General features: G+C 37.9%; 1 long non-coding RNA gene and 1 pseudogene across 2 annotated transcripts in view; both read right to left on the bottom strand.

The window, feature by feature from the left end:
• Positions 1-14,289, bottom strand: part of EEF1DP3 (eukaryotic translation elongation factor 1 delta pseudogene 3) — a 112,802-nt pseudogene that overhangs the window by 75,566 nt on the left and 22,947 nt on the right. The window lies entirely within an intron of this gene.
• LOC124900336 (uncharacterized) overlaps positions 3,473-14,289 on the bottom strand; it is a 33,342-nt gene continuing 22,525 nt past the window's right edge. The window contains exon 2 of the long non-coding RNA XR_007063748.1: positions 3,473-12,703. This is a non-coding gene — a long non-coding RNA (uncharacterized LOC124900336). The remainder of the gene's footprint in view (positions 12,704-14,289) is intronic.

The raw sequence follows: 14,289 nt of genomic DNA, 5'->3' as shown, positions 1-14,289 counted from the left end.
ATGTCAGCAATAATGTCAGTATTGGTGAACCATAATTTATATAAATAACTCCTTATAGTTGTTCATTTGGGTGATCTTCAATTTTTCACTACTACAAATAATTTTGCAGTGAACACTGTGGTATACAAATCTGTACTGGCATTTCTAATTATTTTCTAAGGACAGGTTCCTATAAATGCAATTACTGATACTTTTACACATTACTTTTACATATTTGAAGTTATTAGCACCTGTTACTAAATAACTTTCCAGAAAGGCTGTATCACCTTATACTCCCTGTAATTTGGCCAGAATTGAGGGTTACCTTATAAAAACAACCAAAAAACCCAGTTTAATAGTAGAAACTGTCTTGATCCTATTCATCTTACATTAGTTTGCATTTCTTTAATTACTAAAAATGACCCATTTCACATTTGTTAGCCACTTACATTTTTTCTTTGTGAAGAAAAATCATACCTCTAATCATGTCTCTTGCCATTATTTTATTAAGATAGTAAGGTTTTTAAATTGATTTGAAAGATGTATTTATATATTGTATTAGTGTGTTCTCACGCTGCTAATAAAGACATACCCAAGACTAGGTAATTTATACAGGAAAGAGGTTTTTTTTTTTTTTGTTTTTTTTGATGGAGTCTTGCCCTGTTGCCCAGACTGGAGTGCAGTGGCGTGATCTTGGCTCACTGCAACCTCTACCTCCCGGGTTCAAGCGATTCTCCTGCCTCAGCCTCCCAAGTATCTGGGATTACAGGCACCCACCACCACGCCTGGCTAATTTTTTGTATCATTTAGTAGAGATGGGGTTTCATGTTGGTCAGGCTGGTCTCGAACTCCTGACCTCGTGATCTGCCCGCCTGGGCCTCACAAAGTGCTGGGATTATAGGTGTGAGGCACTGCGCCCGGACGGGAAAGAGGTTTAATTGACTCACAGTTCCACATGGTTGGGGAGGCCTCACAGTCATGGTGGAAGGCGAATGAGGAGCAATGTCTCGTCTTACATCGTGGCAGACAAGAGAGAATGAGCTGAGTGAAGGGGGAAATCCCTTATAAAACCATCAGATCTCATGGGGACTCACTCACTATCATGAGAACAGTGTGGGGGAAACTACCCCCATGATTTAATTATCTCCACTGGGTCCCACCCTTGACACGTGGGGATTATTATAATTCAAGATGAGATTTTGGGTGGGGACACAGCCAAGCCGTATCATATGTTAGCCTTTGTCTATCACATTTGTTGCGAATATTTGACTAATTTGTGTTTACATGTTATCATATTTTTAACATGTAGAAATTTTGTATGCAGTTTCATTTATCAATGCAGTTAAATGTATCTATTTTCCTTTTGCAATTTTTTTCATTGCTTTTATGACTTTATGCTTTCCTCAAGCTAAGATTTGCTTCTCACCTATATTTTCTTTTTTATTTTTATGGTTTTCTCTTCTGCATGTAACTCTTTTAATCTATCTTGAATTTATTTTAGTTAATAATGTGACATAAGGCTCTCAAACAATGGGAAGAAACTATCTGTAAGTAGCAACTTGCAAGCCATTGAGCTGTGTTCATTTTTAAAACATGAGACTGGATAAACTGGGCCATCTACAATTTAGAACTAATATAGAATCTTGTTTGCATTCTTGGTCTCAAGATAACGTCCTCTTCAACAATAAAACTTAATACACCATGTGACAGAAACTAAGAGTCTTGCTTTCCTAACAAAGCAAATCTCTAGAGAATGGAAATAGGAAATGCTTGTGCCTTTTTCTCTGGTTGTTGAAATCTGGTAACTCTGAATAACAGACATTCACATAGTTACTAAGCCAGGAAAGGTCACTGAAGATGCTGTGCTTCAGGGGGTGGTGCTGCCTCTTGAGACTAGATACCCTATTGCACTTGGGATTCTCTTCCCACCTCACTTTACTCTGAGAGGAAGACAAGAAGAATTGGACTTCTAGGGCATTTCAGCACACATGGAAGACGATGAAATAAAATAATCATCATCATATAGATAACAGAAAAGTGAAACAAATTTGCTCAGTGGCTGAGGCAAACTTTTATATTCAGTTGATCATTTTAACTGAACTGGGGAATCATATTGCTGGGGTTCAACAAGGCTCTTACACATTTGCTACATTACTGGAATGTTTTTAAAAAAAATCTCAATAACACATTAATTCCCCAGCATATAATGAGTTTGGCCCAGATTAATCTAGGATATATATTTTTCCCATACATATTTAATTTTATCATGTTAACCTTACTGGTCAGTTGGTTCCAGAAGACAGGACTGGATGTGTAGGGGAACTGAGGGGCTAAGATATCACGTGACTTGTCAAGATAAGGGTCTACGGGTTCCAAGCGTTAAGTCCTTCCTTTATTATTATGCTACCTCAAAACATACTATGAATAGCCTGGGATAGTTTTAAAAGCTCCAGACTACAATACTGTGACCTTGGATATATCATTTAACCTTTTTGGGTTTTTAAAAAACATCATTTATTTTTAATTGTGGTAAAATACACATAACATAAAATTGCCACTTTAACGATTTTTAAGCATACAAGTCAGTGGCATTAAACACTTTCACATTGTTATGAAACCATCACCACTACTCATCCACAGAATTCTTTTCATCTTGCAAAACTGAAACTCTGTACTCATTAAAAAATAATTCCCTGTTCCTTCTCCTCCCAGCCCCTGATAACCACCATTCTACTTTCTGTCTTTATGACTTTGACTAGTGGAGGTATCTAATAAAAGAAGAATTATACAGCAGTTTCCCTTTTGCCAGTGGATTTTTTTCACTTAGTATAATGTTTTTAAGATTCATCCATGTTGTAGCATACGTCAGAATTTCCTTCCTTTAAGGCTAAATAATATTCCATTTTATGTACAGTCCACACTTGTTTATCCATTCATCTGTTAGTGGAGACTTGGGTTGCTTCCACCTTTTGGTTACTATGACTAATGCTGCTATAAATATGGGTGTACAACTATCTCTTGCTTTCACTTCTTTTGGGTACATACCCCGAAGTAGAATTGCTGGATCATATGGTAGTTCTAGCTTTAATTTTTTAAGGAACTGCCAACTGTATTTCCATAGTAGCTTGTACCATTTTACATTCCCACCAGCAGTACACAAGGGTTCCAAATTCTCCATATCCTTGCCAAACTGCTTCTTTGGGTTTTATGTATCACCTACTCATCCATTCAAGTGCTGGAGATACAGTGTGGAATAAGACAGATTCTGCCTGCCTTCAAGAAGACCGCATTAGGGACTTTCAACAACAGCTTTGGTGGGATGAATGTTAACAACGGGGGAGAGGTGAAGTAAGCTAGAGCAATGAAGTACTTTATCCTAGAGCTTTCCAGCTCTGCGTTCTACGGGCACAGGAAGGTGGTAAGGGCAACCACTGAGTTGATTCTAATGTGGAACCCATTCCACAAATTCAAAAATATGTTCAAACACACTGTATTTGTGAAAAAGGGGATCCTTTATTATCCTTCACCGAACCCAATACAGCTTGTTAGACGAGTCAGAAACCCTTATATGGCTTAAAATGTGAAATCCTGGGAACAGAGGCCACAAACTGGCAACCCGAAGGCCAGCATGGTATGATGTTTACATTAGTTGCCAACACTTAAATATCAAGAATAGGACTCCGGATTTCTGGCTTCAGAAAATCTGGCAGCACTAGGGCTAAGGCAGGAACTGGCTGGGCTGAGAGCAGCCCTGTGCATGTAGAAAGTGGCAGTTTGCTACAGGTCCCAGGTGACCTGTTTCAGTCGTTTTCTTGCCTGCTTGGCCCTGTGAGTCTTTGCTTCAGAGCTTTGAAGTCCAGCATGGTAATTGCCAGTACATGTGCTACTGAGCACATGAAACACAGCTGAATTGAAATGTGCTGTACATGTAAAACGCACCCTGGATTTCAAAGACTTAGATTTTTTTTTTTTTTTTTTTTTTTTTGAGACGAGGTATCATTCTGTCACCCAGGCTGGAATACAGTGGTGGGATTTTGGCTAACTGCAACCTTTGCTTCCGGGGTTCAAGCAATTATCGTGCCTCAGCCTCCCAAGTGGCTGGGATTAGAGGTGTGCACCACCACGTCTGGCTAATTTTTGTATTTTTTTTTTTTTTTAGCAGAGATGGGGTTTCACCATGTTGGCCAGGCTGCTCTTGAACTCCTGCCTCAGCCTCTCAATGTGCTAGGATTACAAGTGTAAGCCACTGTGCCTGGCCAAAAAAAAGGTTTTAATTCCATTAATAATTTGTTATATGAATTATAAGTTAACATAATGTTTGACATATATTGCACTAAAGAAAATGTATTAAATAAATTTACCTGTTTCTTTTTACTTGTTTTAATGTGTCTAGTGGAAAATTTAAAATTATATATATGGCTTACATTATAGTTTTATTATGTAATGCCACTTTAGGGCTTCTTCTAACATAGACTATCTAGAACTTTCTCCCCATAAGAAATTATCATTTGAATTATGTCTTATTAATTTCTTCTTATAATGCATAACCACATATTTCATTTATTAAGCAAGAAAACAAGCCCAAGGGAGATATTGATCATTTAAATAAATTGTAGCTCACATGAAAACATCTGACATCATAGGCCTTATATTATCTTAAAACACATTTATTCCTCTCTGGTGGATATACTAATATAACATACCTGAAAACACTGCTCTGAAACTTTACTACCACTCCAATATTTAACTCCTTTTTTCATTTAATTAGTAATCTAAGGTACTTGTAAGTTACTTAAGTTTTTCACATTTGTTTATGTCACTTAATGCACTTTAAAATGAAACCTAATCCATTCATATAAACCCTCTTCACAATTCTTTTTGCTAAAGGCTTAAAGGCTGCTAGCATAATGAGCATTTCATAGTGGCCATTAGTCTACGATTTTATTGGATACATTACCTTTTAAAAGTCTTCTAACTTAATTAAATAAGTGACTGACTGTTAAAATTAATTTCCAGCAGGTATGAGACAAACGACTCTAAGCCAAGAAAAACAAGGGAACCATTCTAATTGGTCTTTTGGTGTGTGTGACAAAGACAACCGCCTAAATTACTACTATTTTCTTAGCAAATGAGATGCATTAAAATTAAATGAGATTTTAATTTTAGATGTATAGAAGTCATAGATGTGTAAGCTGAAACATACGCTTCCAGATGACATTCACTCAACACATAAGGTTGAGGAAATTAGGTGTTCAATTCAAGTATGACTGAAAAGGAAAACACAACTCTGAAGCAAAACTGTGTTGAAACTGCATTTTCCAATTTGCATATTTACTGACATAATCCATCTGGCAATTGTATGGACTTCTCACTCTTGCTTATCAATGTAACTATCTGAGAAATTCCTGGGGTGGCTTCTAACTTCACTGGGACATGACAGAAGTTTGTCTTTCTTTGTCTCCTTTTATTCTCCCTCCTCTCTCTCTTCTGGCCACCTGTTCTTTCTCTTATTCTACCCACCCCAACACCTCCAAGTTTCTTCCAATTTCACCTGTTTTTATAAAAAATATTTTTATTATGATTCAAATAGCCTGATGCCACAAGTTCTAGGGCCATACATTATTGCTAAAGAAGGATCACTCTATGTAAATCTGACTTTCAAGCAAGTAGATTTCCAGTGTGCATACCAGGGGCTCATTCCACTAACTGTGAAGCTCTCATTAGAGGTGTTTCCATCTTGATCATGGGACACAAAAGGACATCCTTTATGAAACGGGTAACAGGACAGATGAAATGATGGCACAAGGTTAATGAGGCCTAGCTCTGTTAGCAGAAATTTCATGCAGTAGTGAAAGAGAAAAAGCAACCCATCAGCTTATTATAGGCCTGGGGAAGTCTTTGTTACTGTAAAACCCCATGATTCTTCCAAGAGAAAATTGTATAATAAAAATGATGTGGTAGGATATACATTGCTAACAAATCCCTAGACATCTTTTAAAATATTTCCACTCTTCCATCACTTGAGCTACCTTTTTTTTTTCCCTGAAATACATATGCTAAAGTCTAGTTATGCCAACATAGCTTCTTTCTTTAATTGCCTGCCCACTTCCATTCACTGACATTTCACAGGGGCACTTAGAACTCAGTGTATCTCATAGACTGAAGAAAGGCTTTAAATAAATCACAATTGGCCAGGCACAGTGGTTCATGCCTGTCATCCTAGCACTTTGGGAGGCCGAGGCAGGTGGATCACTTGAGGTTAGGAGTTTGAGACCAGCCTGACCAACATTGTGAAACCCTGTCTCTACTAAAAATACAAAATTAGCTGGGCGTGGTGGTGCACGCCTGTAATCGTAGCTACTTGGGAGGCTGAGGCAGGAGAATCACTTGAACATGGGAGGCGGAGGTTGCAGTGAGCTGAGATCATGCCATTGCACTCCAGCCTGGGCAACAAAAACAAAACTCCATCTCAAAAAAAAAAAAAAACATAACAGCAGTGATGAAACAGGCAAGATTGCCTTGCACATGGCAGCATGGCAGGAACTATGTTGGGTTTTCCTGTGCATTTCAATAAAAATGTTTATGTCTCACTAAATAGGAGAAAGAAATATTTTAGACACCTCTCAAAACCTAAAAGCTCACTAAATTCAGAGCTGAGAAGGAAGCATGGCATGCCTTTATGAACTTACACATCAGGAGAGTCAACTATTTTCTGAAACATGAAGCTGGCAACAAGAACACAAGAAAACCTTTGCTCTTAGTTTTAAAAATAATGCATATTCCCAGCTGCTTCCTCCTACCTGACACTCAGTAAAGATTCTAAAAATTACTACCTAAAAGTTCTATCTGATTTTCATTTGTGCCAGCATCAGCTCAATATCTGAGAGCATTTTCAGGATTGAGATTCAGAAGGAGCCTTTGCAGACAACATTATCAGGAAGTAGCTACTATTAAGTCTTGACTTTATTAATCCTTTTCTATAGTGAATACTGACTCCAAGATGTTCCATGAACACACACAATTAAGTGCAGTAAAACAGCAATAATGAAACTAGTAAGAGACATGCAGGAGTCGGAAAGAGTATACATTACTAGGATATGAATATTTCAAATGTATATACAGTCTCTGCCAGTCTAAGAAAGCAGTAGCACCTTGAAGTTCTTGAGAGAACTGCTCTAGTGCTCAGATAAGAGTGACTGGTAAATACAGTAGTAAGCATATTGCTTGCAAAAATAATGTTTACCATAGTGTCACTCAGGAAATGGGTTGAACAAAGGAATAAAAACGCCTAAGGAACTTACGAGGGTTGGTACTCAGAAAAGCACAGGACCCAAGTTCACATCCTCAATCCACTTCCTTAGATACATGACCTTGATTAGTCCCTTAAACCATAAGCCTCAGATTTTCTTATTGGTAAAATACAGATAATATCATCTACCCCAGAGGCAACTTATGAACATTAGGTTATATAACATACATCATGCCTAGCACTTACGGGCACTCATTATGTTGCTCATGTAAGGAAATCTATCTTGTCCATGCTATTTATTTCTTCTTTTATTATAAATATAGAAATTGGAGATTATGCTGAGATCTCACATAATCATCAACTCCAAACTGTGCATAAATTAATGAGATTTCTGCATTGATTATAATAGCAACAACCCAAAGGCTAATTATATTTATCCCAATCACTTAATAATTTTTCTTCTAATGTATTTGCAGTCATGTTTGAAGGCAATGTTTAGAAATAACCCACTGCATCTAGACTATGTATCTTCACTCTCTTACCACTAGGTACTATATACCGTATCTTTAATTTGGAAGCAAATCTAGACTTTTTTGGTGAGCAGGGGCAGATTCAGAAACAGATCTGATAATATAAAAGATAAACCCTGATGCACATGAATACTGATGTCTCAAAGCTTATGTTTCCACATAGGTACAGGGTTTTTCCTCATCAAAATAAATCTCACTTCCATGATCTGAAAATTCCACATTTAGTTCTGAACACCTCAAATTTGAACCACAGGCTCCTATGGAAATTACATCTCAAAGTCAGAAATGTTAGAAATGCTAATAAAGTTAGAAATGTTACCCTCGGGATAGCAGCTTGGTCCTGGGTTTCTATGATATCTACCCCACCTCACATGGTCTAAGGCTAAAACTTAATTTCACATGAAAAAAAAATCACTGGAAAAGCTTTCCATTGCCTTTATTTATTTTTTAAGTAACTCTTAAAAAAGAAAAGCAAAAATGTGTTTTAATAAATAAGCTCAGATATTATCTACCCAGAATTAGCTCTCATCTGTAAGCTAACATGAGCCTAGGGGCATTACTGACAACTTTACAATCATTTACAACTTCCATGTTGTACAGGAATGCACAGGAAAAGCAGGGAGACAATTTGAGAATCACTTCCAGACAACTGAGATATAGCTTTAAATATAAGTGTACATACATATATGTGTATACACCCATCCATCCATAGAACACACACACACACACACACACACACACACACACACCATGCTTTCTCTATATATGTATTTTTTGAATGGATTATTTATCTAGCTATCAAACTACTTATGATCTAGTCTCTGTGTGTGTGTGTGTATTTGATCCTTTCAAAATACTGTGCATACACACAATTAGGTCTCTTCATAAGTCAACCATTGCATCGAGTTTCAGGGTTAGCTACTGCAACATCAGAATCCCAGATTCCTTTTCCACTCTGGTCCACACCCAAGGGTAATGCTAGTGGTCTTTATCTGACTTAGCTTCAAGTTTCCACTGTATCTCAATTCCATTTGTTATTCAATCTGCACTCAACTCAACTACATTTAAGCTAAAATTATGAGTATATTTGGAAATACATTCAGCCATCGATCATGATCACGATTGAACACATTATACTTTGAAAACTGTCTTAGCAATATCCATACTTTATTTAGCATAGAGAAAAGAACTCAATGCAAATTATCAAACTATGAATTTGGATGCCTTTATTATACCTTATATCAAACAACTGTTAAAATGTGTTTAAGAAAACATTTACCAAAAAAGCTTAAAATAATAAATGGCTAGTGTCATGCAAATTTATCTCTGATGCTCTAGTATTAATTAGCCACACAACTTAAACTTTTCAATGTAGGGTATATGTGGCATTTGTTGACATTTCACTTGAAGCCCAGATTTTTGTTTAATCCTTTGAAAAGCAGATCAAGAGCTATGCCTTTCATTAAGTAATGACTGAAAACTATTTAAAAATAGGGTTGATTCCTAAAATAGGATTTTTCCATTTGACTGGCAACAAAAGGTCCCTGTAGATTTGCCTATACTGGCAAGGAAAAAATGAGTCTATTTTGGAGTTAATATTTCAAGTGGGCTTTCGTTCTGCCAACACCCTGAATTTTCAAGTATGGTACTAAAGCAGAAATGTTTAAAACTCATACAACAATATATTTGTGGAGTAAGGATTAGAATATCATAAATTGGTTACTATTTAATATATCTTAAATTCCATTAATTCTATTAATGAGAGGCAACCCAGTCTAGGGATCTCAAAACTGAGCTAGACGTTACAGACTCACATTCTTGTTCTATTAAGTAATGCACACACACATATGCACATACATTTATAATATTCAACTTGGGCAGATTAACTAATGTTGCAAAATTATTAATGCCCTGACATATGTCAGAGCATACTAATTAAACACAAAGACAAAAAAGTGCAGGAAATATTTTAAACCTTTCATATCATCAATTAAGAATGTCACTTTCTCAAACTAATTTTCATAAAAGCCTCTTTTGAACCAACGGCTCTTCCTGATAACACTAACTTCTTTTCCTCCCCTTTAACAGAAACCTGTGATATATTCTGTGATAATCAGCATTTTCTTCTCTAGTACTTTACTGAATTTTTAAATAAAATTTTTTTCTTTAATTTACCTTTATGTTTCTTAATTAAAGTCAGAATTTGGCTTCTTGTGAACAATGCTAATTGCCTCTATTATACCTTTATCCTCATCAAACTCTGGGTGGATTTTTTTAGCTGAGACTTTCCTCATCATTGAGTCTCTCTCCTGGAATTTTATCAATGGCTATGCCTGTAGCAGGACTTCCCACTAATCTTTCCAAGTGCATATTCAAGGCAGGCCATTTATAAACTTAAACTCACTAGGAGGCTCATATTTCAGATCCTCAAGGAACCCACTGGTCTAAAGATCGAATGGAGTTCCAGAATCCACTCTAGTAGATTATTCTATACGGGAATCAAAATGCAAAGCAAACAGAACCCAACACAAAACATCCTACCTGGAATGCAGACGGAGCATCCGTTTCAAAAATTTCTTGGGGAACTCCAGGTTGCAGGATTGCAGGGAACACTAAAAGATGTTCTGGACCCTCTGACTTCCCTTGTGAGTTTAGTGTAGACATAGCCTTAAGGACTTTACTTCCTCTTGCTTGTGTGAATTTCAAAAAGTAAAATAAATTCCACTGTTTGTCTAATTGTCAAACACTAATTGCCTTTTTTTAATCGATTACCTGTACACAAATTCTATCATCCACCTTATGTTCCTAGGTCCCTGGTTCTACTGTCCACCCCAGATCTCTTCATCCTGTGGAATCTTGCCTCTCTACTATCTCTGCAGCATCTTCTCTGAGGCAGCTCATCAGCAATTCAAATGTAACTTGACCAAGATTGTTGTCTGCAATTTACCAGGACTTTCCCCCAGTCTGCTCAGTCTTGTCGTCTGACTCTTGCCTTTCTGATTCTTGTCTTCCTCTAACCCCACTCTCATTGATTTGCCTCTCTGGCCACAGAGCCTCAATTCTATTGAAGACATATTTTCATGCAAGGTTCTACAATATTCTTAAATAACTTTCCACTCTTCTGGAACCTATACAAAAGAGAGGGGTCCTGCTTTTCTGATCCCTTAGGGTGGCATTAAATACCCTACGGATACAAAGTCAGTGCAATTCTATGTGTAACTGGCAGGCTGAAATGTCTTTTCCACCCTTGGGTTTATTATACAAGTCACTGTCTAATTACCTTGAACAGGAGAAAGAACACCTGACCCTGCAGTAGAAACAAGGCAATTTGTGTCTCATGTTTTACATATGATGATTTATAAATACAACTGATGTTATCAAGTAATATTCTACTGCACAATGTTTAAATCCCCTGGCATGTATATTCCAAAGAAATAACACTCACAGAGGAGAGTGAACAGAGGGTTCCAATACCCCAAAAAGTATCTCCAGCAGGAGCAAAACAGGAAGAATATGCACAAATATGGACAGTATGGCCTTTAATAATCCAAATGTGCCTATTCTTGTTGAAATTTAAATTACAGATAATATGGCATTCCTGGAAGGTTTTGAGAAAGACATGAAACAGGTTTTTTGTGAACTTAGATCAGGAGTGGGTTGGCAATCTAAAAACAGAAGAGAAATAAATTAATGTCTAAATGATGGAAACTTGATACTTACTTCCCCAAGTGGTGAATTCGCTTTGAACTTGTCATGAGAACTGGGTTCACTTCATATTCCTCTATTCTTTATATCGTTACAGAAATCTTTAAATGTGGTAAGGATCTTCGAATTCATTTATTGCAACTCTCTTGTTTTACAAGCACGAAAACACAGAAACACATCAGGCAACTCCCTCACCAAGACCATAAAGCTAGGCAGGAGCAGCAGCGAGCTTAGAATTCAGGGCTCCTGGGTGTCTGTCCAGCATTTCCTCTATCGCCAAGGCCTGTTTATGTTCTGGGAGCCACCCTATTTGTATCTCAATTGTGACATTTCTGCCTTCTATTCCAGCTTTGCATCAACAAGGCCCTCTTCTTTGAATCTGTCTGTCTATATCTGTGTCAATCTATCTGTCTGTCTGTCATTTTAATTTTAGATCTGGTACCTTTTCCTGACTTGTGAAAAAGGTGATTGGGCATACCCAGACAACTGGTATGGCTTGGAGAGAGGCAATTGATTCCTTTATTCTTAAGTCTTGTATATGTGGAGGGATCTATAGGTTAGGATTTTGTTGTTGTCCTCATTATCCATTTTTTGTTTCAGGCCACCTTCCTGAACTGTTTAAAGCAGCCATTTTCTAAAATCCACATATATCCCTGCCACCCCATCTGGGGACTCCTACTAGGGATATAATTTGAGAAGATAATCTTCTTATCGCTTTGATCATATTTCACACAAAGTATTCTGGGTTGATTTAATCATCTTGGTTTCTTGATCCCAACCTGGAAATTTCTCTTCTGCATGGAGTTAACCCCTTTATTTTATTTACTCACTCCCCTTCCCCTTTGACAATATCATTACTGGGCTGAGGAGGGTCACTTGGAACAGGTTAACTTCCTACTTTTTATTCCCAGATGGAACTGCTGAGCTTCCAGCTGTATCCCTACCACCTTGTAAATCAGTTTCCATTTCGTTCAATCACTTGAATTTTTTATCATAATGCTTCCCTTTTTGCATTACATTATCTTTCTCAGTATGTGTTAGTTTCAATGCTTTGCTTTTATTCCTCACTCATTAATCATCTCTCATTTGACTCAAAGCCATACTCCTTCCCAAAGCTTCTCTCCCTATTCCTTCCCATTGTTAACATTCTATGGTTATATTTGGATCAAGTTTCTGCTTTGCTGGTGATGTTGATCATTTCAGTAGAAGTTTGCCGTTCACTTGCTTGCTTCAGCATCTCCTGCACATTTTAGATAAGATAAACACACTCTCAATCTCAGTAGTGAGGCAAATAACTTCTAAGCCATCCCTACAAAAGTAGACATGACATGAATATAGGTGTGCTGATGGCTGGAACATGACCTCAGCTCAGATGGGACCTTATGATGCAGGACTGGGCTAGATGTGGCTATGTGGGCTTGCTGGTCTACCTTCCACTGTCCCACCTTGGTGTGTAATACAGCCCTGGGTGCCATGTTCCACATGCAGTAGGTCCTTAGTTAATACGTGCTGCTGCTTGTTGTGGCAATTATCTAGTAGGGGATCTCTAATAGTATCTCCCCACCCCAAGCATAATTGACCACTCCCTCCTTTAAGCCACCACTGAAATATGTTTATGATTCCATTATTGTGCTCCTAACATTTGCAACCATACACATTTCCTCTATCCAACTAAGAGATCCTTGAGTATCTGATTCATATTTGGATTCCCATAGTTGGGGCTTACCAAGTGCTAGTTTGGATATTTGACCTTTCGAACTTCATGCTGAAATCTGATCTCCAGTGTTGGAGGTGGGGCCTAAAAGGAGGTTTTTGGGTCATGGGGTGGATCCCTCATGAATGGCTTGGTGCCATCCTCGTGGTTATGAGTTCTTGCTCTGGCAGTTCACACAAGAGCTGGTTGTTTAAAAAGAGCCTGGCACCTCCCTCTCCCTCTTGCCTCCTCTCTCACTTTGTGATCTCTACATGTTGGCTCCCCTTCCACCATGAGTGGAAGCAGCCTGAGCTCCTCCCCAGAAGCAGATGCTGGAGCCATGCTTCTTGTATAGCCTGTGGAATTATAAGTCAAATAAACCTCTTTTCTTTATAAATTTCCCAGCATCAGGTATTTCTTTACAACAGCACAAGTGGACTGAGATACCAACTGATTAACAATGAGACGTCTATTACTTTCCTGGAAAAGCTCCTTTACTCCTAACCCGGGGCCTCAATGCACAACTTCCATTTGGTAATGTTAACTTTGTTCATAAATACACAGTGTGACAAACTGCTGGGAAATCAGAATGGTCCAGGGCTTACATTTTCGTGAGTGAAATACACTTTAGAGGATTTGTGCCACATATCCAATACAACTAGAGAATATTTGCAGCATGGCTCCAATAAGTGTAGCAGTTGCCCTGGGAAGGGGTGGAAAGGAAGTTTGTAAACTAAAGCAGTAACTCCTTTCTATCTCCAATAAGTAGGCCAGTCAATTGTAGGCATACAGTTGGCATATGGATCAGCACTGAGAGACGCACATCTGTCAACTAGAGTTCTGTGTTATCAGCTACACCTCTGTCGCGATCCAGCCCTTCAACGGCTCCATTAAGACTGGGCTCTTAAAGAAAAGTGAGACTAGGGAAAGGAAGGAAAGGGCCAGGAATTAGGCTGCTTGGCTGAGGGAAAAATCCAAAATAAATGTCAACATCTGGACCTTATTTCAACTGATCAAATGGCATGTATTTAAGACAAGCTAGTTTTCACCTCCACTGCCCATCTCGGCATACCTTCCTCCATATCACCAAATTGGCATTCAGCTTTTCTACATCACTGTCTTCTATTCATTTG

The sequence above is a fragment of the Homo sapiens genome, chromosome 13 (assembly GCF_000001405.40).
Source record: "Homo sapiens chromosome 13, GRCh38.p14 Primary Assembly".
Lineage (NCBI taxonomy): Eukaryota > Metazoa > Chordata > Mammalia > Primates > Hominidae > Homo > Homo sapiens.
The sequence above is the reverse complement of the archived record's forward strand: the minus strand, read 5'-3'. Positions and strand labels throughout refer to the sequence as shown.